Here is a 24,690-nt window from a genome sequence, read left to right on the forward strand (position 1 = left end):
GGCCTTCTACCTGGAAAGGATGTGGGAAGGGTTGCCTGGCCTAACCAGCCCACTACATCTCTAAATCCATGGGGCGAACTTTTTAAAAATGAAAAAGGGTCATTGAAAATCCTGTACTTTTACATTTATTTAAAATTATTTAAAATGTATTTAAAAGAATGTATACAGGAAAAAAATGTATACTGTACTTAAGAATGTAGAGTGAGTTGCTCTCATATGCCTGACCCCCTAACTCTAGATTCAAGCATTCTTACCCAATTTTTGTGTATCTGCTTAAAATCTCAGTGCATGTACACAATTTTCCCCAGAAAAGGGTAATTAAGCCATTCACTTCCATTTAGAAAAAAGATTGGCCGGGTGCACTGGCTCACGCCTGTAATCCCAACACTTTGGGAGGCTGAGGCGGGCGGATCACGAGGTCAGGAGATGGAGACCTTCCTGGCTAACATAGTGAAACCCTGTCTTTACTAAAAATACAAAAAATTAGTGGTGGAGGTGGGCGCCTGTAGTCCCAGCTACTCTGGAGGCTAAGGCAGGAGAATGATGTGAACCCGGGAGGCGGAGCTTGCAGTGAGCCAAGATGGTGCCACTGCACTCCAGCCTGGGCGACAGAGCAAGACTCCGTCTCAAAGAAAGAAAAAAGATGATTTCTAAGATTAGTTTCTCCCTGGCAGGTCTGGCCTGCTTTGGCGGGAGAGTAGGGGGGGAATGGTAGGAGTCATGGAACCGGCTAGTTGGGAAATGCTGGCTGGGGTAGAGGCCTCTTGGAAACAGCTGCAGAGGCTGAGGGCCCAGAAAGATCTGTGCAGAGGCCCAGAAAATAAATTCACCTACTTCTGTTTTGCTCAGAACTGCCCTCAATTTTTAATTGAAGCAAATTAAAACTTCCCAAAAATATTAGTCCACTTTCTTGGCAAGGTACACAGCCCCTTCTCAGTCAGTGATTTTGGACCATCTGCAAACAGGAGCTGGTACTGGTCCTGAGGAAGGCCTTTCCCTGGCCAGAGGCTGCCCTTCACACCAGGCCTGTTTGCAGGCACTTCCCCAGAAGCCGGGTCAAATCAGGCCATGGTGCAGATGGGGCAGAATAATCTCCAGTCATTCAAGGTGATTGGTAGAGAAGTGCGAGGCAGGGAGTTGGAAGAGGAGTTCCTTCCATTTCTTTGTGCTTACCATCTCTGTGAACACCTTGTTTTCTAGAACAGTGCAGTGGAGTCTTCTGCAGTGTTTATGCAAAAGTGCTCTTTTTTTGGTGACGCAGAAGACAGAGGTCAAGTGTGAGGTCATCACCACTCCTGGAGGTGTCTGTCCCTTTAGTTCTGCACCTCACTAGGAGCAGATGAACCAGGTGCACCTGCCCCTCTGACCCTTCCGCCCTCTGAGCAAAGGTGACTGCTTTCCCACTGGTGCTCAGCACAGGTGTCAGTAGGAGGCCCTTGACCCTGGACAACTCCCAGAGATGGATTCCTCCATTCAGTCTGGCCTTTTCCCTCCAGCAAGTGCTTATTGATTGCCTGGCCTCTGTTTGGCCTTGGGCTTGCTGGCATGAAGGACGCAGACCTCTGGCTCCTGGAAAGCAGTGGAGAGAAGGGATCCTCTCACCTGAAACTAAATCCAAGGGAGAAGCAGGAAATCAGTGGTGGGGAATGAAGATGAGGATGAGGAGGAAGGGGCACAGAGGTGGTATTGAGGGTTTTTTTTTTTTTGTACTTAGAAAAATTAAAAACCCTCTGTATTATAAATTCAAAAATTATATTTAAAAATTTATATAAGGCCCTAGGGGGGTTAGTGACTTAACTAAGTGATAGAAAAATCAATGACTAAGACTTCAGAAGCAGGGAGCAGGCCAGCTCGACAGACCTGTCTCTTTTTCTCTGTAGGAAAGGGTCTGTCTTTGCCACGTGGAGGCGACATCCTCCACCCTTGTCAAGATGCTGCGGTAGCTTCTGAAGAGACCCTACCCAGATTGTTTGGCTGTGGTTGAAAATTCAGCTATGGTTCTGTGTGTTATGTTTTGCCCATCACTGAGCACATGCATTATTTCACATCTATCTATTCATCTACTCAAGGGGTGGTGTGGTGTGGTGGTATAGGAAAAGAGATGGTGGATTTAGCTCTAAAACATCCAGGGTTATGCCTTAGTTTTGTGGCTCCATATTTAATCACAAAAGTGCTCACCCTTGTTCCCTCATCTACTGCATGGGGATGAGACTGATCAGTAACTTACCTAGTTCACAAAATTGTTGTGTGTAATCATGTATATGGAAGTACTATGTGGTCCATAAAACATGAAATAAGTGCTGGTTAAAAACCTGCCTAGGCCGGGTGCGGTGGCTCACGCCTGTAATCCCAGCACTTTGGGAGGCTGAGGCAGGTGGATTGCCTGAGGTCAGGAGCTCAAGACCAGCCTGGCCAACATGGTGAAACCCTGTCTCTACCAAAAATACAAAAAATTAGCTGGGCATGGTGATGGGTGCCTGTAATCCCAGCTACTTGGGAGGCTGAGGCAGGGAGAATTGCTTGAACCCGGGAGACAGAGGTTGCAGTGAGCTGAGATCGTGCCATTGCACTCCAGCATGGACAACAGAGCGAGACTCCGTCTCAAAAAACAAAGAAACAAACAAAAACCTGCCTATTACTTATCACAAGCTGCTTTGTTGCCTGGAAATACTATTTGTAATCAAAAGAGGGAAGGGCCAGGCATGGTGGCTCACGCCTGTAATCCCAGCACTTTGGGAGGCTGAGGCGGGTGAATCACCTGAGGTCAGGAGTTTGAGACCAGCCTGACCAAGATGGTGAAACCCCATCTCTAAAAATACAAAAATTAGCTGGGCCTGGTGGCAGGTACCTGAAATCCCAGCTACTCAAGAGGCTGAGGCAGGAGAATTGCTTGAACCCGGGAAGTGGGTTGCAGTGAGCTGAGATCATGCCATTGCACTCCAGCCTGGGCAACAGAGCAAGACTCCATCTCAAAAAAAAAAAAAAAAAAAAGCCTGCATTTTATTGCCCATGTGTTTCTAAGGGGATATGTCTTCAGACGCTTCTGGGGAAAGGAGTGAACCATAGCATAGTTGTTGTTCTTTTGGCCCATCTTTGTCATTTGATTGTTTTGGACTCAGTGACTTTTCCATTCTCCACAAAAACATTCTTCAGTTTATTAGTTACTATAATTACTTGTGCACTTGCTTTCAATTCCACAGACATTTATTGAGCTCTTAGAACGTGCCAGGATGTATGTGAGAAGATGGGGGCAGGGATCCAAGGATGAATCAGATGTGCTCCTGCCTCCAAGGAGCTTATGGTCCAGGGAGGAAACGGGGAAAGGTGCCCTGGTGGTGGTCGCGAAGGCTGGGTAAGGTTACAGTAGGAGAATACTGCGATAGTGACTGTTTCTGATCACCTGCTCTAATAATTTTGTTCACGTTATTTCACTCAGTACGACCACCCTGAATGAAAAGTGTGATCTCTATTTCACAGGTGAGGAAGCTGAGGCTCAGGTTAAATACAGGGAATCTCACCAAGGGGATACTAGATGTCAAACTTGGGCCATCTGTCTGGAATCTGTGCTCTTTCCTCTCAACTGTGTTGCCTCTCAGGCCTTCCAGAGTGCCCACCCTACTTCCCCCTTCAGTCCCTTTCCTTTTTTTTGACTGGAGTCTCATTCTGTTGCCCAGGCTGGAGTGCAGTGGCACAACCTTGGCTCACTGCAACCTCCGCTTCTAGGGTTCAAGCGATTCTCCTGCCTCAGCCTCCCGAGTAGCTGGTATTACAGGCATGTGCCACCAGGCCCAGCTAATTTTTGTATTTTTAGTAGAGATGGGGTTTTGCCATGTTGGTCAGGCTGGTCTTGAACTCCTGACCTCAGGTGATCCACCTGCCTTGGCCTCCCAAAGTGGTGGGATTATAGGCGTGAGCCACCATGCCTGACCTTCAGTTCTTTTCTATGCATCTCCTTGTGGCACCAACTTCCAGGGAAACCACATTCTTCCAGAAAAACACAAACCAGATCATCTAAATATCCAGGCAGACTGTTCTTTCCTGCCATAGGGCCTTTCCAGGCTCTTCCTTCTGCCTAGAATGTTCTTCTCTCCCCACTTCTCCAACTCACCCTTCATGGCATGGCCAGTTCTTTCGTTCCCTTCAGGTTTTTCCTCCTTGTCACCTTCTTACAGAGGATGACCCTAATCCTACTTCCTGAATGTTCACTGTAACTGTCCTTTCCCTTCATGGCCTTTGCCATGTTTTTTAATTATAAGTTGTGTTTGCTTGTTTGTTGTCTTTAAGGTACCCAAGAACAGGGACCAGGATTTTTTCACCAATATATACGCAACCTGGCATGGAGTTCTGAGTGAGTGTGTGAGCTTCAGTTTACACACTGGGTGCGTGAAATGTTACTTCATAACACTGGCAAAACAGCCTGATTTTATTTCAAGCCCCCATCCCACAGGGTTAGCAGGACTCACTGACTTCACTTTCTCCCCTCTCTGCATCTTGGGGACCCTCCTGCTTTGCTGATGGGGAAGGTCAAAGGGTCTGCTCCTCCACTCCTTCCCCATCTTCCAGCCAAGACACTGTCTCTCTTGCTAACCCTCTTCCTCTTTCTTCCTTCACAAACCTCCCTTGGTTCCCTAAAGCATTGTCTCTGGAAGAACAAAAGGCAGAAGGGCTCGTAGGCGATTTCTGCTTTCTGTCCTACCCATTCGCCCCAAATAACAAAACTCGAAGCAGGTTACCTGCTTGGGTAGGGGCAGAAGAGGAGCATGCAAGGACATAGATCTGTATCTCAAAATTCTATGTTAGCCAAATACATCAGTAAAGACGGGAGCTGGAAGGTGGATTCTGCAGGGGTGGGAGAAACTTCAGGGACATTGGTGCTGTCCTGAGATTGGATTTATTTCAAAGTTGAGTCCAAATTTACCAAGCAACCCATGAATTATGATGGGATAAACCACCGCAGAGTAACAACGATAGTAAATAATAAGAATGTCATTTATTGAGCACCTATTTTGTGCCAAGCATTCAACTGGCATTTTACATATAGCATCTCTAACTCCAGAGTCTGAGCTCTTTCTCAATGCCATGTTATCTCTTGTGTAAAAATAAGATCTTACTCACCACCAGGCCAGTCAGCAGCAAATGGCACTGGGTGCTCTGCTGTGGGGAGTGGGGAGATACTTTTGGCAAGAGTCTAAGTGAAACTGGGGCTAGCTCAACCCATACCCTGCTCTATTCCAGAAACTCTCCAGCCTGCCAAGTTAGGTTTTCCAAGGCAAAGATTGGTCCATGACCAAAGAGTGTCACAATCTACCCTGGTGGGGATAAAAGTCATTCTGGATGTCCCCACCTTCTTAGAGTTTGCAATTGTCATATTTAATATGGCTCTTAGAATTATTGCTCTGGTAAGGACAAGCTTTTGCTTATTTTACGTGTGTACATTTCACCATTTTTTCACAGTGCAAGTTATTTGAGGACTTTTTGGTATTTTTGTCTCTTAGATTTGTAGTAGTATTGAAACTAGCTAACAGTGTTGAGCACTTACTATAGGCCAGTCACCCTTTTATACAAATGAACTCATTTCATCCTCTCAACAACCCTGTTATTATTGCCATTTTACAGATAGGCAATCTGAGACCCAGAGAGGGCAAATAACTTGATCAAAGTCACACAACTGTCAAGTGGCAGAACTGTGCTATGAACTCAGGCGGCTTGGCTCTAGAGGTCTCACATTTAACTATTCCCCTATACAGACGCTAGTCACAAAGATGCAGTCTCCTTGAAAAGTCGATCTGGGAAGTTAGTGGTCTATTTCAGTTTGTGCCCATGGCATGGAAGGTCTAACAGTTGTGGGAGGGCATCAAGACATGGTGGGGGAGGCTGGGCATGGTGGCTCATGCCTGTAATCACAGCACTCTGAGAGGTCGAAATGGGTGGATCACTTGAGGTCAGGAGCTCGAGACCAGCCTGGCCAACATGGTGAAACCCCATCTCTACTAAAATTGCAAAAATTATCTGGGTGTGGTGCCCGTCTATAGTCCCAGATACTTGGGAGGCTGAAGCAGGAGAATCGCTTGAGCCCGGGAGGCAGAGGTTGCAGTGAGCCAAGATTGTGCCATTGCACTCCAGCCTGGGTGACAGAGCGAGACTCTGTCTCAAAAAAAAAAAAAAAAAAAAAAAAGACATGGTGCGGGGAGGTACTGTGGTATGTGATATATGAGGATAAATATAGGACATAAAGCCAGAAGCCCTTGCATCTGCTTCTGGCCATGTTGCCTATGAGCCTTAGACCTTGGGCAAGCCAATTAAACTTACCAAGCCTCATTTTTCTCACTTGTCAAATGGGGTTAAGATGCTCTACCACAGAGGGTTGTTGTGAGGAACCAATGAGAATATGAATATTAAAGTGGCTTGTAAGCTGGAAAGCACTACCTGCATTTAAAATAATGAAGTTATCATTGTTGTTATCCTTAAGAGCACTGGATGGAGATGATGGCGAATGACACAGTAATCATAAGACAGGCAGGGGCTACCCAGGCCTGTTAACAGGAGGGCCATTCCCTCACATCCTCTCTGCCAGCTCCTTGATGTTGGCATCACTAATGTCTGGTGCCTGCTCATCCCATGACCTAGACTTAGAGCCCATTCCCCTGATTCTAGCAGTCAGGATGACTAGTTGGAAATAACAGCCACTTTAAGCTGGAAGGGAATTTACTAAAAAATAATGAGGATTAGAGGGTATTCTCGGGAGGAATAGAGAGCAAGGACTTAATGACCAGCTATAACATGAGAACTTCTCTGCCTTCCATGCCTGCAGAAGTCTGAGTCTCCTGTGCACAATGCTCACTTCTAAATTCAGGTCTTGCACAGGTGAGTCTGACTGGTGGAACCGAGGTCAGTATCTGTGCCCTGGCTGCAATGGTTTTCTGGCTTCTATCTTGGCAAGAGAAGACTTATGAGAAATGACCAAAATGTAAAAGTGGGTTTTCAAAGATCTGGGTGGCCACAGATGACAGATATCTGCCATACTGGTCTAGTTCCCAGCACGCTGGACCCGCAGAGTGATTTCAGGGAACAGAATCAGAGGAATCCACCCGAGGGCTTCTGGCCCATTCATGGGGAGCCCAGAGAACGGTGTGCTTTGCCTCCAAATCTGGGTGGTGTGGCGGGATGGCTCCTGCTCCTTCGGACCTAAGGGACAGGCTGTGGTGCTGCTGCATGTGCAGACAAGTGTCCTATGCTGCCAGCATGCAGGGTGGGGACATTCCTGTGAGACTGGACTGTGAGGAAGGGTGTGACAGTTGGCTACTGCTCTAAGCTGGCCTGTCGCTGGCTTCAGCCTTTGCTGTCACCTTTCCTGTCACCATTTCAGTGTCTACAGGCTGTAAGCTAGAAGCTGACACATACCCAGAGTGGCCATCCTTTGTGCATGCAAGGAGTGCTCTTTTGTCACAGAAATGAAGACCCCATCGGGAACACACTGTAGGGGACTGACAATTACAGGTGCGCCGCAGGCAGGATGTCAAAGACGAGAGCGGGCCTAATGAAAGCATGCGTTTATGTCTAATAGGATGAGTTGGTGGGTGTCAGCATCATCTTACTCCCCCCAGCCTGGAAAGAAAGAGATAAACATGGGTGTCTAAAGGCTCTTCAAGGGGAGATTTTACTCCATCATCTCAGAGGGGTGGAGGAGAGAGGAAGGTCTGTAAGGGTAGAGAACGAAGCCTCAGACTCTGGGTGGGGTGCGGGTCTCCAACTGAAAGAATGGGGGTCTGGGGCTACCAAAAGTTGAGGGCCTGTGCTCAGCATCCTCTCTGGGGTGGATGGAACCTCAGAGGGACAAGTCCTGTGACACCCTTATGGCATCTTGGTGTGCAGGATGTACATGGCCTGGTACACCAGGGGTCCCTGGTTGGCAAGACCCTTCTCAGGCTGTCTCAGTATTAAAGTAACTGCTGTCTGACTTTACAGACTAGAGGAGCGGGGCTGGGAACACAATGTCGAGGTGGATTGAAGACCAGAGCCCCTGTGCAATGCCGACCAGGAAAGGTTCCAAGGCTCTTGAGTGTCTCTAAGGACGTGAAGGCCCTACCAAAACAAAATTCAAGGTAGGGACTTGGAACCACATTGCCTGGCTCAGAGGAATAAAGAATTGGGATAGCTCTGGTTTGCTAGGGCTACTGTAACACAGTATCATAAACCCAGTGGCTTAAACAATGGAAATCTACTGTCTTACAGATCTGGAGGCTAGAAGCCAGACATCGAGGTGTCTGCAGGGCTAGGCTCTCTCTGAAGGGACTAGGGAAGGATCTGTTCCAGGCCTCTCTCCTAGCTTTGGTAGTTCCTTGGCTTGTGGCAGCATAACTCCAGTCTTCACAAAGCGTTCTCTGAATGCACGTCTCTTTGTCCAAATTTCCCCCATATATATATATACATATATTTTTTTTTTTTGAGATGGAGTCTTGCTCTGTCACCCAGGCTGGAGTGCACTGGCACGATCCCTGCTCACTGCAACCTCTGCCTCCTGGGTTCAAGCAATTCTCCTGCCTCAGCCTCCTGAGTAGCTGGGATTACAGGCGTGTGCCACCACGCCCAGCTAATTCTTAGTAGAGACAGGGTTTTACCATGTTGGCCAGGCTGGTCTCGAACTCCTGATCTCACGTGATCCACCCGCCTTGGCCTCCCAAAGTGCTGGGATTACAGGTGTGAGCCACCGCACCTGGCCAATTTCCCCTTTTCACTGGAACACCAGTCATAATGGATGAGTCCACCCTTATCTTAACATCTGCAAGAACGTTATTGCCAAATAAGGGCACACTCTGATGTACCAGGGGTTAGGACTTCAACGTATAAATTTTGGGGGACACTACTCAACTCCCAACAGCTGGGTCTCCCATTCTGAGTTTTGGGGCACAGCTGTGCTCTGCCTAGGCATAGCTGATTCCCACCCTAGGAATTCCCACCTTGGGACTCACCATGTGAGACTTAGGAGGACAGTTCATCTCTTTCAGTTAAAAATTTTGTTTGTGGCTTGGAGAGTCACTTCAATACATGGATAATGATGCCCAAACCTGTCGGCAGCCTGCTTTCCAGCTGTGACCATGGCAGGTAACGAGCCTCCCTGAGTCTCCACTGTCCTCTGCCGACCAAATGGGAATCATAACAGCTCCTCTTATTATTATGCCTGAGACGAGGCAGCCAGTCTGGAGAGGGCCAACCTAGCACAGGACTGTGAGCACACACAAGACAATGTGGGCGTCCAACAGATCCTAGCTCCCTTCCCCTTGGAAGGCTATGCACACAGAAAATCTTTCCTTGGGTTGAGCTGAGATCTAGATGAGGCCAGGGGTCAGACGCGGTGAAGTACCAAGGTCACAGGGCTGTTATGGCATCGCACTGTGTAGAAGTCCAGTTTCATTGATCTCGGGATAGGGGCCGATTGGGGTCCAGTGGCTCCTTCGAAAGACCTTTTGCCCTTGGAAAATGAGATGTGACCTCAGGGATAGGGGGAGAAGGGAGAGGAAATGTGGAAACGGAGCCACACAGTCTTAGAGTTGCATAGAACTTTGGAACACCCCTATTGCAGGCCCCTCTCGCTACAGCTGGGGAAGCTGAGGCGGGAGGAGGGGAGGTACTGTGTCAAGGTCAAACGTTGGGTGGTGCCAGGCGACAGAAGCCAGGCCTTTGAGAGGCAAGGCTGTGGTAGAAATGAAAGGGGAGGTGGTGGGTGCTTCCAGGGGTCTGTGAGCTCCGTTCCCAAGACTGGAGGGGCCTGTGTCTGCGGAGGGGGTGGCTTCCTGGGCTCTGGAGGGGAGGGGAGGCTAAAAGCAGGGTTGGGGAGCGAATCTGGGGGATTGTGGGAATATCGGGCCGCGCCCCAGCCCCCAGCGATGCGTGGGGCGCCTGGAGAAGGGGCGCACGGGCAGGTGGGGTGCTGCGGGGCCCGCGCGTGGGGGCCGCGCCGGCCGGGGCGGGGTGAGTCACGGCCCGCCCGCTCCCATTGTGCGGCCCGGCGGCGGCGGCGGCGGCGGCGGCGGCGGCGGAGGTGCGGAGCGGAGCGCGAGGAGGTGGAGCCGCGGGCTGCGGGCTCCGGCGCCTGCGTCCGCCCGGCCAGCCCGGCTCTGCGCTGCGAGAGGCCGGACGGCAGTCGCGGCTGCGCTCGGGAGAGAGCGCGGGGGACATGGGGCGCGGCGGCCCGCCTGGGCCTCGCAGGCTCCGGAGCCCCGAGGTACCGCGGGGCGGGGCACGCCGGGCAGGGCGGGGGACCCGGGCTGTCCCGGGCGTGGCTGGGCCTCGGAGGGGCGCTTGGGCCGGGAGCGTGCATCCGGCTCCCGGGTGGGGGGCGCCAGCGCAAGGAACCTGACCCCGCCCTCCTCCCCCAGGGCTCCCCGCTAGGCCCCCTCAGTGGCCCCTCCTTCTCACCTGGGTCTCGGGTCCCCTAGTGAGCGAGAGCGTCCCCAGCCGCCTACCTGGCCATGGCCAACGGAGTGATCCCGCCGCCCGGGGGCGCCTCCCCCCTACCCCAGGTGATCGGCGCGCGCGGGGGCGGGGGAGAGATGGGGGAGGAGAGGGGAGGGACCTTAGGGTGGGCAGAGGAGTCCTCTGGCCGACCCCGGGACCCCCCAGATCCAGGGATGAGCTGGGCTGGGGGTTACGGAGAAAGAGGGGGGTTTTTGATATTTTCCAGATCCGTAGCCCTCTCTCTTTACAAGCTCTGGGAGCCCAGAGAGGGTGGTTTCTGGGATGCTGACACAGGCCTGGGAGCAAGGGGAGGGGGCCCGATGGTGTGAGAGCCTGCTGAGCTCCCCCAACTAGGGCTTGGAGTTGGGGTGGGTGTGGGGCCTTCATGGGTCAGGGGTCCTTAGCAGAGGCCGTCTGGGCCTGCAGGTCCGGGTGCCCTTGGAGGAGCCCCCTCTAAGTCCAGACGTGGAGGAGGAGGACGATGACTTGGGCAAGACCTTGGCTGTGAGCAGGTTTGGGGACCTCATCAGCAAGCCCCCGGCCTGGGACCCCGAGAAGCCCAGCCGCAGCTACAGCGAGCGGGACTTTGAGTGTGGGTAGCCTGGGGACCCCTAGTGCGGCCGCCCTCGCCACCATCACCTTCATCGCCACCATCACCGCGCTCACCTCCGGCTTGGTCACCCAGTGCCATCCTGTGCCGGACACTGTGCTGGACTCTGTGCTGGGCCACATGCCGTGTTCAGTCATCCTGCCTCCCCCACCCATCGCCTGTCCGCCTGCCTGGGGAGGTGGGCCCCAGACCAGGGGAGATCTAGGGAGCTGGGCCTGGGCCCTTCCACGGTGACCTTCCCCTTCCCCTTCGTCCCCACTCACTCCCTCCTTGTCCCACCTCGGCTAGTCCAACTCCGCCTTTCCCCTCCTTGCTGTATCACGTCTCCCCTCCCAGCCCCCTTCATGACCTTCCCTGTCCATCCACCCTCTCCTCCCACTCCACCAGACCTCATCAATGACAGGCACGTGGACACAGGTGTTGGGGGGTCATGGCCCTGGAGGAAGGACTAGGGTGCCCTTGTTTGCGGCCTTGAGCTGGAAGGTGTGTGCCCTCGGGTGGGGAGGGCCCCTGTTTCTGCTGTGGGGGCCTCAACCGGATCTCCTGCACCCCCAGTTCACCGGCACACATCCCACCACACCCACCACCCGCTCTCAGCGCGCCTGCCTCCACCCCACAAGCTGCGGCGGCTGCCCCCCACCTCTGCCCGGCACACCAGGAGAAAGAGGAAGAAGGAGAAAACCTCTGCTCCTCCCTCCGAGGGGACCCCTCCCATCCAGGAGGAGGGGGGAGCTGGAGTGGATGAGGAAGAGGAGGAAGAGGAGGAAGAGGAAGGAGAATCTGAGGCAGAACCTGTGGAGCCCCCCCACTCAGGGACCCCACAGAAGGCAAAGGTAGGGGCTTCCCTTTGGAGGGGTGGCAGGTCAGGGGTCAGGGAGGGGTACAGAGAGGAGGAGAGGAGTGCGTGTTGGGGGCCTGTGTGAGGCTGGGTAGGGTTGGGGGCTGTATGGTAGGTCGGGGCAAGGCCCCAGGGCACATTCTATGTCTGCAGTTCTCCATTGGAAGTGACGAGGATGACAGTCCAGGCCTCCCTGGGAGGGCTGCTGTCACCAAGCCCCTGCCCTCGGTGGGCCCACACACTGACAAGAGCCCCCAGCACTCCAGCAGGTACTGGCTGCAGCCTCTACTCAGCAGGGCCCAGCCCAGAGCCACAGGGTCCAGAGCTCCTGGCAGTCACCTCCTTCCTGACCCTGGGGAGTGTCCCCAGCTCTGACCCTGAGAAAAGAGGAGCAGGGTGTGGGAGGGGGGTGGGGATCCTTCTCTGTCCTCATGATTTACAAGGAGGAGAGAACAAGGGGGGGGGGAGAAAAACAGAGAAGAGCAGAGTGAAGAGGTTAGGAGTTCCCCAGGAGAGAGTGACAGAGTAGAGAGGGTGAGGAGAAAGGTGGAGGAAAGGGGGAGCCACGGGATGGGGAGGGGGCCTGGGTCAGCATCCTTTGCTGCCCAGGAGGGGCCTGGGTCTCATGCTCAGGGTCTACTCCAGGCCGTGCTCTGAGCTGAGGGACGGTGATGGAACCACCGACCTGGCCCTGTCAAGTCCAAGGCTGCTGTGTTGCCTCCCCAGCTCCCCCAGCCCCCGGGCCCGGGCCTCCCGACTCGCTGGGGAGAAAAGCCGGCCCTGGAGCCCATCGGCCAGTTATGACCTGCGGGAGCGACTGTGCCCAGGCAGTGCCCTGGGCAACCCAGGTGGTCCAGAGCAGCAGGTGCCCACAGATGAGGCGGAGGCCCAGATGCTGGGTTCTGCAGACCTGGACGACATGAAGAGTGAGTGAGACCTTGTGGCAGCCCCCATGGTCCACTGCGACGGACTCCCAGCCTGCGAGTGACCTTGGAGAGGCTCTGAGCTGTCCCCTGCTAAGGGCTGAGTCCTCTCTGAATCCCTGTCTGCTGGGATGTGGCCAGTGATGGGGACCTCACTACCTCACCCAGCCACCCTCTCTGACGGCCAGAGCTGAGATTTCCTTTCCTGACACCTCACGCCTCAGTCCTGATTCTGTCCTCTGAGTCACCCCTAGAAAAAGGCAGCTCTCTTTTTCACATTACTGTATCCCTCCCCAAGGCCCCTCTTCTCGGGGTGAACTCTCTGTCTCCTCTTTGATCCCCTCCAAACCAGGCCCTGAGTCTGAGCCATTGCTCCGGACCCCTGCCTCTCCCTGTGTCAGGACCCTTCACTCCCATCCCACTACCCTTGGGGGGGGCCTGGCTGTGATCTCGGCACATTCCTTCCATCTTATCAGTGCCCTGGTTTCTGTGCCACCTGTCATCACCCGTGGGGCTCTGTGCCCAGGCCAGGGGCATCACTGATCCCTCCCCCTCCTCCGAGCCACAGTGTGTGGGTGGGGTGGGGGGAAGGGTAGGGCTTTGAGCTCAATACGTCATGGAAAGTTGCCAGGGCCTGAGGACAGGGACAGGAACAATCCGATGGCAGCAGTAGCAGCAGGATGGGGGGTGGGGGAGGGCGTGTTTACAGACCCAGGGTGGGGGCTGGATGCCGCAGGGAGCAGGCTTGTGGACTTGGGGAGTTGGGGTCGGGAGGCTGTGCCACCTTCAGCTCTGGTTGGACAGAAGCCACCCCGTCCAGGCTCCCACCTTGTAGGAGAGCCGAGGGGTCTGGTAGGGAGCGGAGGCCGAGGTCTCGGCCACCGGGAGAATGACGAGCCCACTGGAGAAGGACCCTGAGCCCAATGGGGCACTGAGCCCTGGGCCTGGGGATACCAATAGCTGGGGCTTTGGGAGGGATCCAGCCCCCAGTCCTCGAGACTCACTGGCCCCGGAAGACTTAGAGATGTTTGTGCTGGACTTTGAGGATGGTGACCTGTGGGAGTCCATCAGGGGCCAGCTGGGCCCCATGGCAGGGCCACCAACTTGTGAGTAACGGGGCTGCTGGCCTTTCCCCGACTGCTGCTGGCCTGGGTGGGGCAGACAGGAGGAAGGGAGCGAAGCCCTGCCTGAGTCTACTGGGCTGTGTACCTTCGGGGAGGGGACGTGGGTGTTGAGATAGGGTGCACGGAAAATGTTGGGGGCTCAGTGCCTGGGGACTCTGACTCAGTGCCTGTCATGGGACCCAGATGGAGAAGGAGGGGCAGTGGCCATGGCAGGGGCTGGAGGGTCTGGCTGGGGCTGTGGACTGAGCTGGGTCTACCTTTGGATTGCATCTTGGCCGGTGGTCCCAGGTGACCATGGGGAGGTCCTTCCCTCTTTCTGAGCTTCAGTCTTCTTATCAATGAAATGGCCACATGGGATTATGTGGTTCCCGTCGGCATGGCCTGTTGGTGACTGTAGAGCTCACCAAGTAGATGGGTTGGGCAGAAGGAGCTGGGCCGTGACCCCGAGGGCCCCAGCTGGACCTGTGGGACCCCCAAGCCCATCTTCTCTGCAGGTCACCGACTGGAGGACAACCCTGGTGTGCGGCGACACTTAGTGAAAAAGCCCTCCCGGACGCAGGGCGGGAGGGGCAGTCCCAGCGGCCTGGCCCCCATCCTTCGCAGGAAGAAGAAGAAGAAAAAGCTGGACCGGAGGCCTCATGAGGTCAGGATGCTGACTGGGTGGGCCTGTGGCTTCCTCATGCCCCTCGGCCCCGGAGCCCTCCTCTCTTTGCCCCCCTGCCTTGCCCCATCACGGTGTTCCCCACACCTGTTGGCCCCTGGGCCCTCACCTTTGGCACGCCCCCCAGGTGTTCGTGGAGCTGAACGAGCTGATGCTGGACCGCAGCCAGGAGCCCCACTGGCGGGAGACGGCCCGCTGGATCAAGTTTGAGGAGGACGTGGAGGAGGAGACGGAGCGCTGGGGGAAGCCCCATGTTGCCTCGCTCTCCTTCCGTAGCCTTCTGGAGCTCAGGAGGACCATCGCCCATGGTAGGGACCCCCAGGCCTGGCCCGAGGCTGCAAGCCCTCTTCAGTCTGTGCCAGGCTGCTCAGTTCCCAGGAACACTCTCTAGAGTCCTGGGCACAGGCAAGATCCAACTGCCACCTGGGACCGTGGGGGTCCATTTGCCTGGGCAGCCCGTGAGCCCCGAGGGGCAGGGCTGTATCTGGTGCATGCAGTCAGTCAACAAATGGCTTCCCCTTCCTTGGTGGGGAGGGGCCGTGCCCTCGTTTCCATGCTCCATTTTCACGGCCCCTCTCTGACTGGCCTGTGGCAATATGGAGCTGTGTATCCATCTGGGTACATTGGGCGCTTTGCCCTTCCAGCACATTCGCATGCTTTTGGGGGGCAAGGCAGAGTGGGAGGAGATTTTTCCTGTCTGATGGGACTGTGCCCTCTCTGTGCCTGACTGTCCCCCTAGGAGCTGCCCTCCTGGACCTGGAGCAAACCACCCTGCCAGGCATTGCACACCTCGTGGTGGAGACCATGATTGTGTCTGACCAGATCCGGCCGGAGGACAGGGCCAGCGTCCTACGTACCCTGCTACTGAAGCACAGGTGCCGGGGTGGGTCCCTGGGAGGGGCCTGTCCAGCTCAGCTGCCCTTCCAGGAGCACATCCTCTTCCAAGTGGCTCCCAGCCTCTGCTTGAATGCCACAAGTGACAGAGAGCTCATTTCTATCTTTTGACACTTTCAATCATTATAAAGTTTCTTTTTACACTGAGGCAGAGGGATGGAGGTCCTGACCCTCCACTACTCACCTCATGACCTCAGTCTACCATGAGCCTCTCCTCCTCACCTGCCTCACCCTGCCCCTTCCAGCCATCCCAACGATGACAAGGACAGTGGCTTCTTTCCCCGAAACCCATCGAGCTCCAGCATGAACTCGGTTCTGGGGAATCATCACCCAACTCCCAGCCATGGCCCTGATGGGGCGGTGCCTACCATGGCTGATGACCTGGGGGAGCCAGCCCCACTCTGGCCACATGACCCTGACGCCAAGGAGGTCAGTGCCCTTGCTTTGGCTTGGGCCAGGGGACTGAGAGGGTGTCCAGTTTCAGTCGAGGTCATCGACGACTTCACTGAGTGGGTTGGGAAGGTTGGATTGCTGGCATCATGCTGGGCATTCGGGGACCTAGAGGAGACCCGCATGAGGGGTCCCTGCCCTGAGACGCAGGAGTTTTGAATGTGATGATGTGGCAGACCCACAGGAGCTGTTTAAACAAGATAAGGCTGAGGTGGTAGTTGGGGACATCGAGGCAGGGTCCACATCCCAGCTGGTGGCTCCCAGTGTGGGGCCACAGTGCAGTACCTGCCTACTCTGGGAGGGAGAAGCAGGTCTCAGAGCCAGGGCTGGAGCCAGGGCTGGGAGGGCCTGCCACGGCCTCCGGTCTGGGTCCCAGCCCTATTCCAGTTCTGCGTCCTCAGAAGCCCCTCCACATGCCTGGGGGAGATGGTCACCGGGGGAAAAGCCTGAAGCTGCTGGAGAAGATCCCTGAAGATGCTGAGGCCACGGTTGTGCTTGTGGGTGAGGAGGGCCGGGCGCCGGGGGCAGGGTCTGCAGTGTGTGTGTGCCTCTCCTGGGGGCCTGCTTGTCTGAGCTCTGGCCTCGAGGCCGCCTCTTCCATCTCCCTCCAGGCTCCCACCTGGTCCCTGCTCTTCCTCACAACCTGTCTTAGCCCAGCCCTTTCTTTCGTAGTCCCCTGCCTGCTTCCTGTCCAGTTTTCTGCTATCTTGGAGTTGGAATTAGAAAAAAAAGCAACACTTCTTTAATACCCTGAGTTTCCATCTGTTGGCGAATTGTAATCAATGTGTAGACACATAAGCGAATAGTGCCCTTTTAGACTGGGGTTTCTTTGCGCAGTTTACAACCTGCTCAACTGTCCATGATAGCCCTAGATAGCTGCCCCAGGGCCTGCCTTGACTGCTTCTCTTTGCCCAGCGCCCTGTGCTTTCCTCTTCCCCTAGGTTGTGTGCCTTTCTTGGAGCAGCCTGCAGCAGCCTTCGTGCGTCTGAATGAGGCTGTACTCCTGGAGTCTGTGCTTGAGGTCCCTGTCCCGGTCCGCTTCCTCTTCGTGATGCTGGGGCCCAGCCACACCAGCACTGACTATCACGAGCTTGGGCGCTCCATTGCCACCCTTATGTCTGACAAGGTTGGGCGCGTGCTGGCTCTCAAGGCCTCTTCTCCTAGGCCCTGCTTACCCCTGTCCCTCATTGTCCACAGTGGTGCCCATAGAGGCAAGGGTGCTAGAGGCCCCTGGGTGGAGGCCATGCCCTGGAGGGTGGTGGGGGGAGCTGTTGGCCCAGGGGAGAAGAGAGAGCCTTGGGCTGTGGCTGTGGGAGGGTCTGGTGACATAAGGGGAAAAGCCCAGACCCCAGAGCTTTGGATGTGATGTGAGACTTGATCAGGAGGGCTGGATGCGCTGGTCTTTGCTGTGGCTTCTCCTGGGATTAGATAGGAGGGTCCTTTAGCCAGGGGCAACGTTCACAATATTTATCAGCCTGTAAGGTGTAGCTGATCCAATTGGAATGGCTCTGGAAGCCCCTGCTCTGCCAGGTGTTATCCCTTTAGTTGCTGCATGTGGAAGTCTGGCATCTCCTGGGGGAATGGAGGGCACCTGGGGCTTTGGGGCAGTGGCTTGCTGGCCTGCAGGGATGGGTGTCAGTGTTCCAACAGCCAACACTGTTGGACTGGCCCAGTATCTACGACTGAATGTCCACCCTGCCTGTAGCTCAGTGACCCAACACCCGCCTCAAGTCTCCCTCCTGGAGGCTCCCTTGGCTGTCCCTGAGGGTCCTGGCCCTCTCATTGCCCCCAGCTGTTTCATGAGGCTGCCTACCAGGCAGATGACCGGCAAGACCTCCTAAGTGCCATCAGCGAGTTCCTGGATGGCAGCATTGTGATCCCCCCGTCCGAGGTGGAGGGCCGTGACCTGCTGCGCTCCGTGGCTGCTTTCCAGCGAGAGCTGCTTAGGAAGCGGCGAGAGCGTGAACAGACCAAAGTCGAGATGACCACACGGGGTGGCTACACGGCCCCTGGGAAAGGTCAGACCCTTGGAGGCTGAGTGCCCCCAATACACACTCCCCCATCCCAGGGCCCTAAGGCTGTGACCCCAGCCCCGTCCTGACTCCTGGAGTCCTTTGCATCCCTGATCCCAACAGCCCGGGGCCTCCGAGCCAGAGGGAGTGGTCTGTGCCCCAGCAGCCCCTTGTTCCCCCAGAACTGTCTTTGGAGTTGGGGGGCTCTGAGGCAACCCCTGAAGATGACCCCTTGCTGCGGACGGGCTCGGTATTTGGGGGGCTTGTGCGGGATGTGAGGCGCCGGTACCCGCACTACCCCAGTGACCTGCGAGATGCGCTGCACTCCCAGTGTGTGGCCGCTGTGCTCTTCATCTACTTCGCAGCCCTCAGCCCTGCCATCACCTTCGGGGGGCTGCTGGGTAAGGGACTGGGGCTTGGGGAGTTGAGGGGCTCCTCTAGTCACTTCTGGTCCCAGTGTCACTTGCAGGATTCTGGGTCTGGGTGTGATCACATTAGGGGGCCAATGGTTAGATGTGCTAGCAAAGGTGTAAGCACCTTACAGAGATGCTGGATCAGGGAATCCCAGCGATCACCTTTGGGGAGCTATAAAGTGAGGGTGTGGGAGAGGTGTAAGGGATGAGGGATCCTGTGATCACCATTGGGGGCTAGTGGGGAGGGTTTGGGAGCAATGGGGTATGGAAGGGGCCCTGTGTGTCACTCTAAGGGGCTGCTCTGCTTTTGTTGGGGGCCCCAGTTTAGGACAAGCTAGATGAAGAAGGGGGCAGATAGACAGAGCCAGGCTAGGGCCATCCTACCCGTGCTATGGCAGGAGAGAAGACCGAGGGGCTGATGGGCGTGTCCGAGCTGATCGTGTCCACCGCTGTGCTCGGCGTCCTCTTCTCTCTGCTGGGAGCTCAGCCGCTGCTTGTGGTTGGCTTCTCTGGGCCGCTGCTTGTGTTTGAGGAAGCCTTCTTCAAGGTGAGGCGAAGCCTTGCCCTGCTCCATCCATCCTGCCCCACACTCTTCCTTACCTACATCCTGCCCCACACTCTTCCTTACCTACATCCTGCCCCACACTCTTCCTTACCTAGGGGATGGGTCCCTGCATTCTCCCTCTTCCTCGGAGTTCATCCGCTGCCTATTCCAGGGGGCATTGACACCCAGGGCAGTCCACCTGTGGGTAACGACCGCTCCTACCCCCACCTAGTTCTGCCGAGCCCAGGACCTGGAGTACCTCACTGGCCGGGTGTGGGTTGGTCTCTGGCTGGTGGTCTTCGTCCTTGCCCTGGTGGCCGCCGAAGGCAGCTTCCTGGTCCGCTACATCTCGCCTTTCACCCAGGAGATCTTTGCCTTTCTCATCTCACTCATTTTCATCTACGAGACCTTCTACAAGCTCTACAAGGTGGAGGTCCAGCGAGGTCTTGGGGGTGGCAGAGATGGAGGTGGACATTGCCCTGGGGAGGACAGCATGGGAGGGGGAGGTATGGAGAACTAGGGGACAAGGAGAGGGACTGTGTTGGGAGTGAGGGGTTCTAGGGACACCCTAGGCTAGGTCTGAGCTGAAGGGGAGGGAGTCAGACCCAGGGGGTGGGTGCCAGGTCACGACTCCAAGCACCTGGTTGGAGGCTTAGTAATAAGGACTCACTTGCACAGGTATGTGATGGGGAGGGAGCTGTCAGTGCTAAGGGGCTGGGTGTCCTTGGGTCACCTTTTGTAGAGGAGTGTGTGTGTGTGTGTGGGTGTGGGTGTGGTGTGAGTATGGTGTGTTGTGTGTGATGTATGTGTTGTGTGTGTGTGCGTGTGTGTGCCTGTGTGTGCATGTTGTGTGTGTTGTGTGTATGTATGTTGTGTGTGTGGTGTGTATGTGGTATGTTGTGTTTTTTTTGTGTTGTATGTGTTATGTGTGTGTTGTTACGTGTTGTGTGTGTTGTATGTGTGTGTTCTGTGTGTTCTGTGTGTTGTGTGTGTGGTGCAGCTGGATGTCCGTGCATTACTGTTGTCTGACCAGGTATTGAGGGGCCACCCTCTCTCTCACAGGTGTACTGATGACGATGAAGTCAGGTCACCTGCCAGGTGAGTGACAAGGCATCCTTGTTATCCACACACAGGTGTTCACAGAGCACCCACTGCTGCCGTTCTACCCCCCTGAGGGGGCCCTGGAGGGGTCCCTGGATGCTGGTCTGGAGCCAAATGGCAGTGCCCTGCCCCCCACCGAGGGCCCCCCCAGCCCGAGGAACCAGCCCAATACGGCACTGCTCTCACTCATCCTCATGCTCGGGACCTTCTTCATAGCCTTCTTCCTGCGCAAGTTCAGGAACAGCCGCTTCCTGGGGGGCAAGGTGCGTGGCTGCTGGGTGTGGAGCCCCCAAGAGTCCCACAATTCCTGCTGTAGGAGCTCCCCAGAGAGGCTGCACCCCTTCCCCGGTCAGCCCATGGACCAAAACCCAGCTCGGGCAGCCCCTCACCCCTTCGGAAGCCTCTTCCCTGGGTGTCTTCTTGCCCTTTGCTCAGAGAAGTCTAATCAAGACAACAGCCTCCCAGGCTGCGCTGGCACCTGTGGGGTTGAGAGGCACGTGGGGGGCCTTCTGGCTCCAGCTTGGACCCAGGCAGGGCCAGAGATGGCAAGCCCCGTGTTAGTCTGCTGACCTTGCCTCCACCTTTTGCTCCCTTCCCCAACTGGCCCCTCTCAAGGCTCGTCGCATCATCGGGGACTTTGGCATCCCCATCTCCATCCTGGTGATGGTCCTGGTGGATTACTCCATCACAGACACCTACACGCAGGTGAGGGAGCCCCAGCCTGTGGCAGCTGCTGTCACCCCCAGGCCAGGAGAGGGAGCCCACAACACACTTCCATGGGCCCTGGGATTGGGATCAGGCCTGAACTCAACTTTCCCAGTGGAGTGGCCGCCCTGGGGGCTGAGGGCCTTCCCCAGGGAGCCTGAGTGATGAATCCGGGAGAAGCAGGTGTGGGGCTGGGAGCAGAATGACAGTATCCCACACAGGTCCCCTGAAGCTCTGGGGCTCAGGGAGGAGGCGCTTCATTTCCCTGCCCTCTATTGGATCCTTGAAAGGACAGTGACTTCTGGAGGATGCAAAACTAATTTTCCCCTGACCTGTTCACACCCCAGCTCCCTGAAGTCCTGGACTGGGGACGCAGCTTAGTGGGCTGCTTGGTGGGCTTTCTAGCATGGGGAGGCTGTGTCCCTGAACCCTGTTTTCCTGCCATGCAGAAGCTGACAGTGCCTACAGGGCTCTCAGTGACCTCTCCCGATAAGCGCTCGTGGTTCATCCCACCCCTGGGCAGTGCCCGTCCTTTCCCGCCGTGGATGATGGTGGCAGCCGCTGTTCCCGCCCTCCTCGTCCTCATCCTGATCTTCATGGAGACACAGATCACGGCGTGAGAGAGATGGGAGGAGGAGGTGGGAGGGACGAGGCCAAGCTCCTTGGCTCCTTGGCTTGGTTTCAGGGTTATAGCAGGGACATCATTATCAGTATCAGGGTGCTGGGTGGTGGGAGCTGGTGGCAATCCTTGAGGAAGAGAGTGTGTGTGGAGGAGCTGGCAGGGGTGAGGAGGAGGTGGGGGAGGAGCAGAGAGCAGTGGCATCCGGGGCAGGGGCATGGTTTCCCCGTGATGGTTTGACATGACATCTATCTGTTGCCACCACTCTTTGCAGGGTGGCACTTGACAGTGCTCAGAACACTCTAGCAGTCTAAGCTTGCACCCAGGGATGCTCACATGTATCTAATTTTGGTTAAACCACAATAACGTGGTAAGATCTGGCATCTGGCTTTTGTGGTGTTTTAAATATTCACAGTATGAGAATTTGTCTCACATTTGCTTCAATGTGAGAACTTCAATTTGGGAACTTGAAAGAAGAAGCTGGCAGTCCTAGGGAGAACTGTTGTCTGCACGTCCTCCCCCCACCATCTCGTCTCTGTGTGCGTGCCTGTCTTTGTCCCCTGCCCCTGCCAGGCCAGCCACACCCCGCTCCCCACCTTCTCCCTGCAGGCTTATCGTCAGCCAGAAGGCGCGGAGGCTGCTCAAGGGCTCCGGTTTCCACCTGGACCTGCTCCTCATTGGCTCCCTGGGGGGGCTCTGTGGGCTGTTTGGGTTGCCCTGGCTCACGGCTGCCACGGTCCGCTCCGTCACCCATGTCAATGCGTTGACAGTGATGCGTACTGCCATCGCGCCTGGTGACAAGCCCCAGATCCAGGAGGTGCGGGAGCAGCGGGTCACTGGTGTGCTCATCGCCAGCCTCGTGGGTGAGAGCCCGCCTCCACCCTGCACACCCCCTTCCTTGGGCCCCACGGTCTTACATCTTCACTATCCCAGGCTTGACCCTGAATCTCCCAATGTGCTGTGTGTTGCCCTCAATCTGACCCCCAAACCTGCTTCCCAGCACTCCCCTAGCCCTTTACTCCTGGAGTCCTTTTCTGGCTCTCTGTCCTGCCCCCTCTTCTCTCTCTTTTTTTTTGAGACGGAGTCTCGCTCTGTCACCCAGGCTGGAGTGCAGTGGCGCGATCTCGGCTCACTGCAAGCTCCGCCTCCCAGGTTCACCCATTCTCCTGCCTCCGCCTCCCGAGTAGCTGGGACTACAGGCGCCCGCCACCACGCCCAGCTAATTTTTTGTATTTTTAGTAGAGACAGGGGTTTCACCGTGTTAGCCATGATGGTCTTGATCTCCTGACCTCGTGATCCACCCACCTCGGCCTCCCAAAGTGCTGGGATTACAGGCGTGAGCCAATGTGTCTGCCCCCCCCCCCGCCCCTCCTTCTCTTGTTCAGGGTGATAAGGCCAAGTTGATTGGTCCAGTGGGTCCATGTCGCCTCCCCCCAGGCCTCTCCATCCTCACGGGGGCTGTCTGAGGGTCAGGCAGATCTGTGTCACCTCTTCCAGGCCTGTCCATCCTCACGGGGGCTGTCTGAGGGTCAGGCGGGTCTGTGTCACCTCCTCCAGGCCTGTCCATCGTCATGGGGGCTGTGCTGCGTCGGATCCCATTGGCTGTGCTCTTTGGGATCTTCCTGTACATGGGGGTCACGTCCCTGTCTGGTATCCAGCTGTCCCAGCGTTTGTTGCTCATCCTCATGCCGGCAAAACACCATCCTGAGCAGCCCTATGTGACCAAGGTAGGGCCGGGAAGCATGGGGGTAGGGCAGTGGGGTGACGGGAAGGGGATCCAGAGGGATCTGGGAGCATTGATGGATGGGATGAATATGAAGGAGAAGCTGTGACCTGGGAGCCAAATTCCCCACGATGTGGGTGGGTGGGAGCAGGCCGGGACGCTGTGCACTGGGGCCCACTGGCTGCTCCCCTAGGTGAAGACGTGGCGGATGCATCTGTTCACCTGCATCCAGCTGGGCTGCATCGCACTGCTCTGGGTGGTCAAGTCCACGGCGGCCTCACTCGCCTTTCCCTTCCTGCTGCTGCTCACGGTGCCTCTGAGGCATTGCCTTCTGCCCCGGCTCTTCCAGGACAGGGAGCTGCAGGCGGTAAGGGGGTGGTGGTCTGGGGAAACAGTGTTAGGGCAAATGGGCACTGGGTTCCAATCTCTGTTTGGCCACCCACTAGTTGTGTTAGTTGTGAAACTTGTGTAACTTGTGTTGCAAGTTATCTCACCTTCCGAAATCTTATTTTCACCTGTATAATAGGGGTGATCATAGACCCTACCTTATAGGACTGTTGGGAGGGTCAAGTGCTAGTCCAGGTAAAGGCCTTAGGATGGTGGTTTTGTAAGGGAGTTGGCACGGGGCTGCTGCACACAGCTGTGCAGGTGGTGCCTGACCAAAAACACCCGGCTGAGAGGCTACAGGGTTGATGTGGCACTGGTGTCCACCCTGAGCCCTGTTTTTGTCAACTAGAGGAAAAGACATCTTTTTGCAATTTATCCATACTCAAACATGGTGTACAAAGGTACCATAGCAACTAGAAGTGGCCTCAGGAAAGAGCTTCATAATAATAATCATTATTATTATCACCAGGAGGGGCCAGGTATCTGGTCTGGGAGGTGACCTGAAGGCTTTGGCCAAGGGCAGTGCTGCCACCCAGGGTCATGGTACTTGCAGAGAGGCCCAGGAAAGGTCAGGGAGCAGGGAGGGCTGCAGGTTGGAGGAGGAGCTGGAGAATGGGAGGGGACGAGCATGCTTCCCTGCCTTCCCCAACCTTCTGTTCCCTCTGCAGCTGGACTCGGAAGATGCTGAACCAAACTTCGATGAGGATGGCCAGGATGAGTACAATGAGCTGCACATGCCAGTGTGACCCTTGAAGACAGTGCCCCTCAGAGACCCCAAGACCTTAGGGATTGACACCTGGGCCTCAGGCAGAGCCCAGCCCTGGGCTGGGGGGCTCCTCAGGACCCAGAGATGTGCCTGGAACCACTCCTGATGCCATGGCTAGAGTGGCCCCCCTGACTTCTGCCCGGGGTGTTGACCTCGCCTCACCTTTCACAGACCAGACCGGCACAGGCTTTGAGCTCATTATAACCACACTCCTTGTCTCGTGTCTGCCTCACTTTCTTGGTTTCATCTTTGGTTTCTCAGGTCATACTTATCCATTTGGAATTGGAAGAATTCTATTTTCAGGGTTATCAAAACCAGGGAGAGGTTTGAGTCAAGGAGAGTCCTTGGGAGAAAAAGAGAGAATCGAGACTACAGAAGGCCAGAGCTGGGCCTTATCATCATCCCCCAGGCCCCCTCAAGTGCAGCCGAGGAGCGGGCGGTAGGGGTGGGGGCACTCAAGCTCTG

General features: G+C 55.7%; 1 protein-coding gene and 1 long non-coding RNA gene across 11 annotated transcripts, besides 2 other annotated features; one reads left to right on the plus strand and one right to left on the minus strand.

Annotated features, from left to right (window-relative positions):
• Positions 1–839: 839 nt before the first annotated feature.
• LOC124908064 (uncharacterized) lies at positions 840–10,487 on the minus strand. The gene is made up of 2 exons (XR_007088701.1): positions 10,417–10,487; positions 840–1,608 (listed from the first exon to the last, which is right to left on the minus strand). It is a non-coding gene; the product is annotated as an uncharacterized LOC124908064 (long non-coding RNA).
• Positions 10,107–24,448, plus strand: SLC4A3 (solute carrier family 4 member 3). Of its 10 annotated transcripts, none has more exons than NR_048551.2 (23): positions 10,107–10,222; positions 10,377–10,520; positions 10,882–11,047; positions 11,621–11,898; positions 12,057–12,172; positions 12,630–12,829; positions 14,445–14,593; positions 14,739–14,919; positions 15,351–15,486; positions 15,751–15,934; positions 16,332–16,456; positions 16,897–17,081; positions 17,748–17,973; positions 18,150–18,368; positions 18,779–18,927; positions 19,157–19,351; positions 20,058–20,288; positions 20,641–20,730; positions 21,180–21,346; positions 21,959–22,212; positions 22,907–23,076; positions 23,266–23,439; positions 24,128–24,448. NR_048551.2 is itself a non-coding variant. In NM_001326559.2 (23 exons), exons 2-23 carry the CDS (start codon positions 10,470–10,472, stop codon positions 24,203–24,205), a joined length of 3,780 nt encoding a protein of 1,259 aa, NP_001313488.2. In that variant the 5' UTR covers positions 10,107–10,222; positions 10,377–10,469; the 3' UTR covers positions 24,206–24,448. The 10 variants fall into 10 exon arrangements, 9 of the variants coding, with proteins under 9 accessions (NP_001313488.2, NP_005061.3, NP_963868.3 ...); NM_001326559.2 differs by having other exon boundaries at positions 12,549–12,829; positions 16,357–16,456; NM_005070.4 differs by having other exon boundaries at positions 16,357–16,456.
• Positions 10,610–11,312: an enhancer, noted in NCBI's record as "H3K4me1 hESC enhancer chr2:220492855-220493557 (GRCh37/hg19 assembly coordinates)". NCBI's record gives its function as "activates a minimal SCP1, AML or CMV promoter by ChIP-STARR-seq in naive H9 embryonic stem cells {active_cell/tissue: H9 hESC(naive)}" and the evidence as "EXISTENCE:reporter gene assay evidence [ECO:0000049][PMID:30033119]".
• Positions 11,313–12,014: an enhancer, noted in NCBI's record as "H3K4me1 hESC enhancer chr2:220493558-220494259 (GRCh37/hg19 assembly coordinates)". NCBI's record gives its function as "activates a minimal SCP1, AML or CMV promoter by ChIP-STARR-seq in primed H9 embryonic stem cells {active_cell/tissue: H9 hESC(primed)}" and the evidence as "EXISTENCE:reporter gene assay evidence [ECO:0000049][PMID:30033119]".

The sequence above is a fragment of the Homo sapiens genome, chromosome 2, assembly GCF_000001405.40.
Source record: "Homo sapiens chromosome 2, GRCh38.p14 Primary Assembly".
Lineage (NCBI taxonomy): Eukaryota > Metazoa > Chordata > Mammalia > Primates > Hominidae > Homo > Homo sapiens.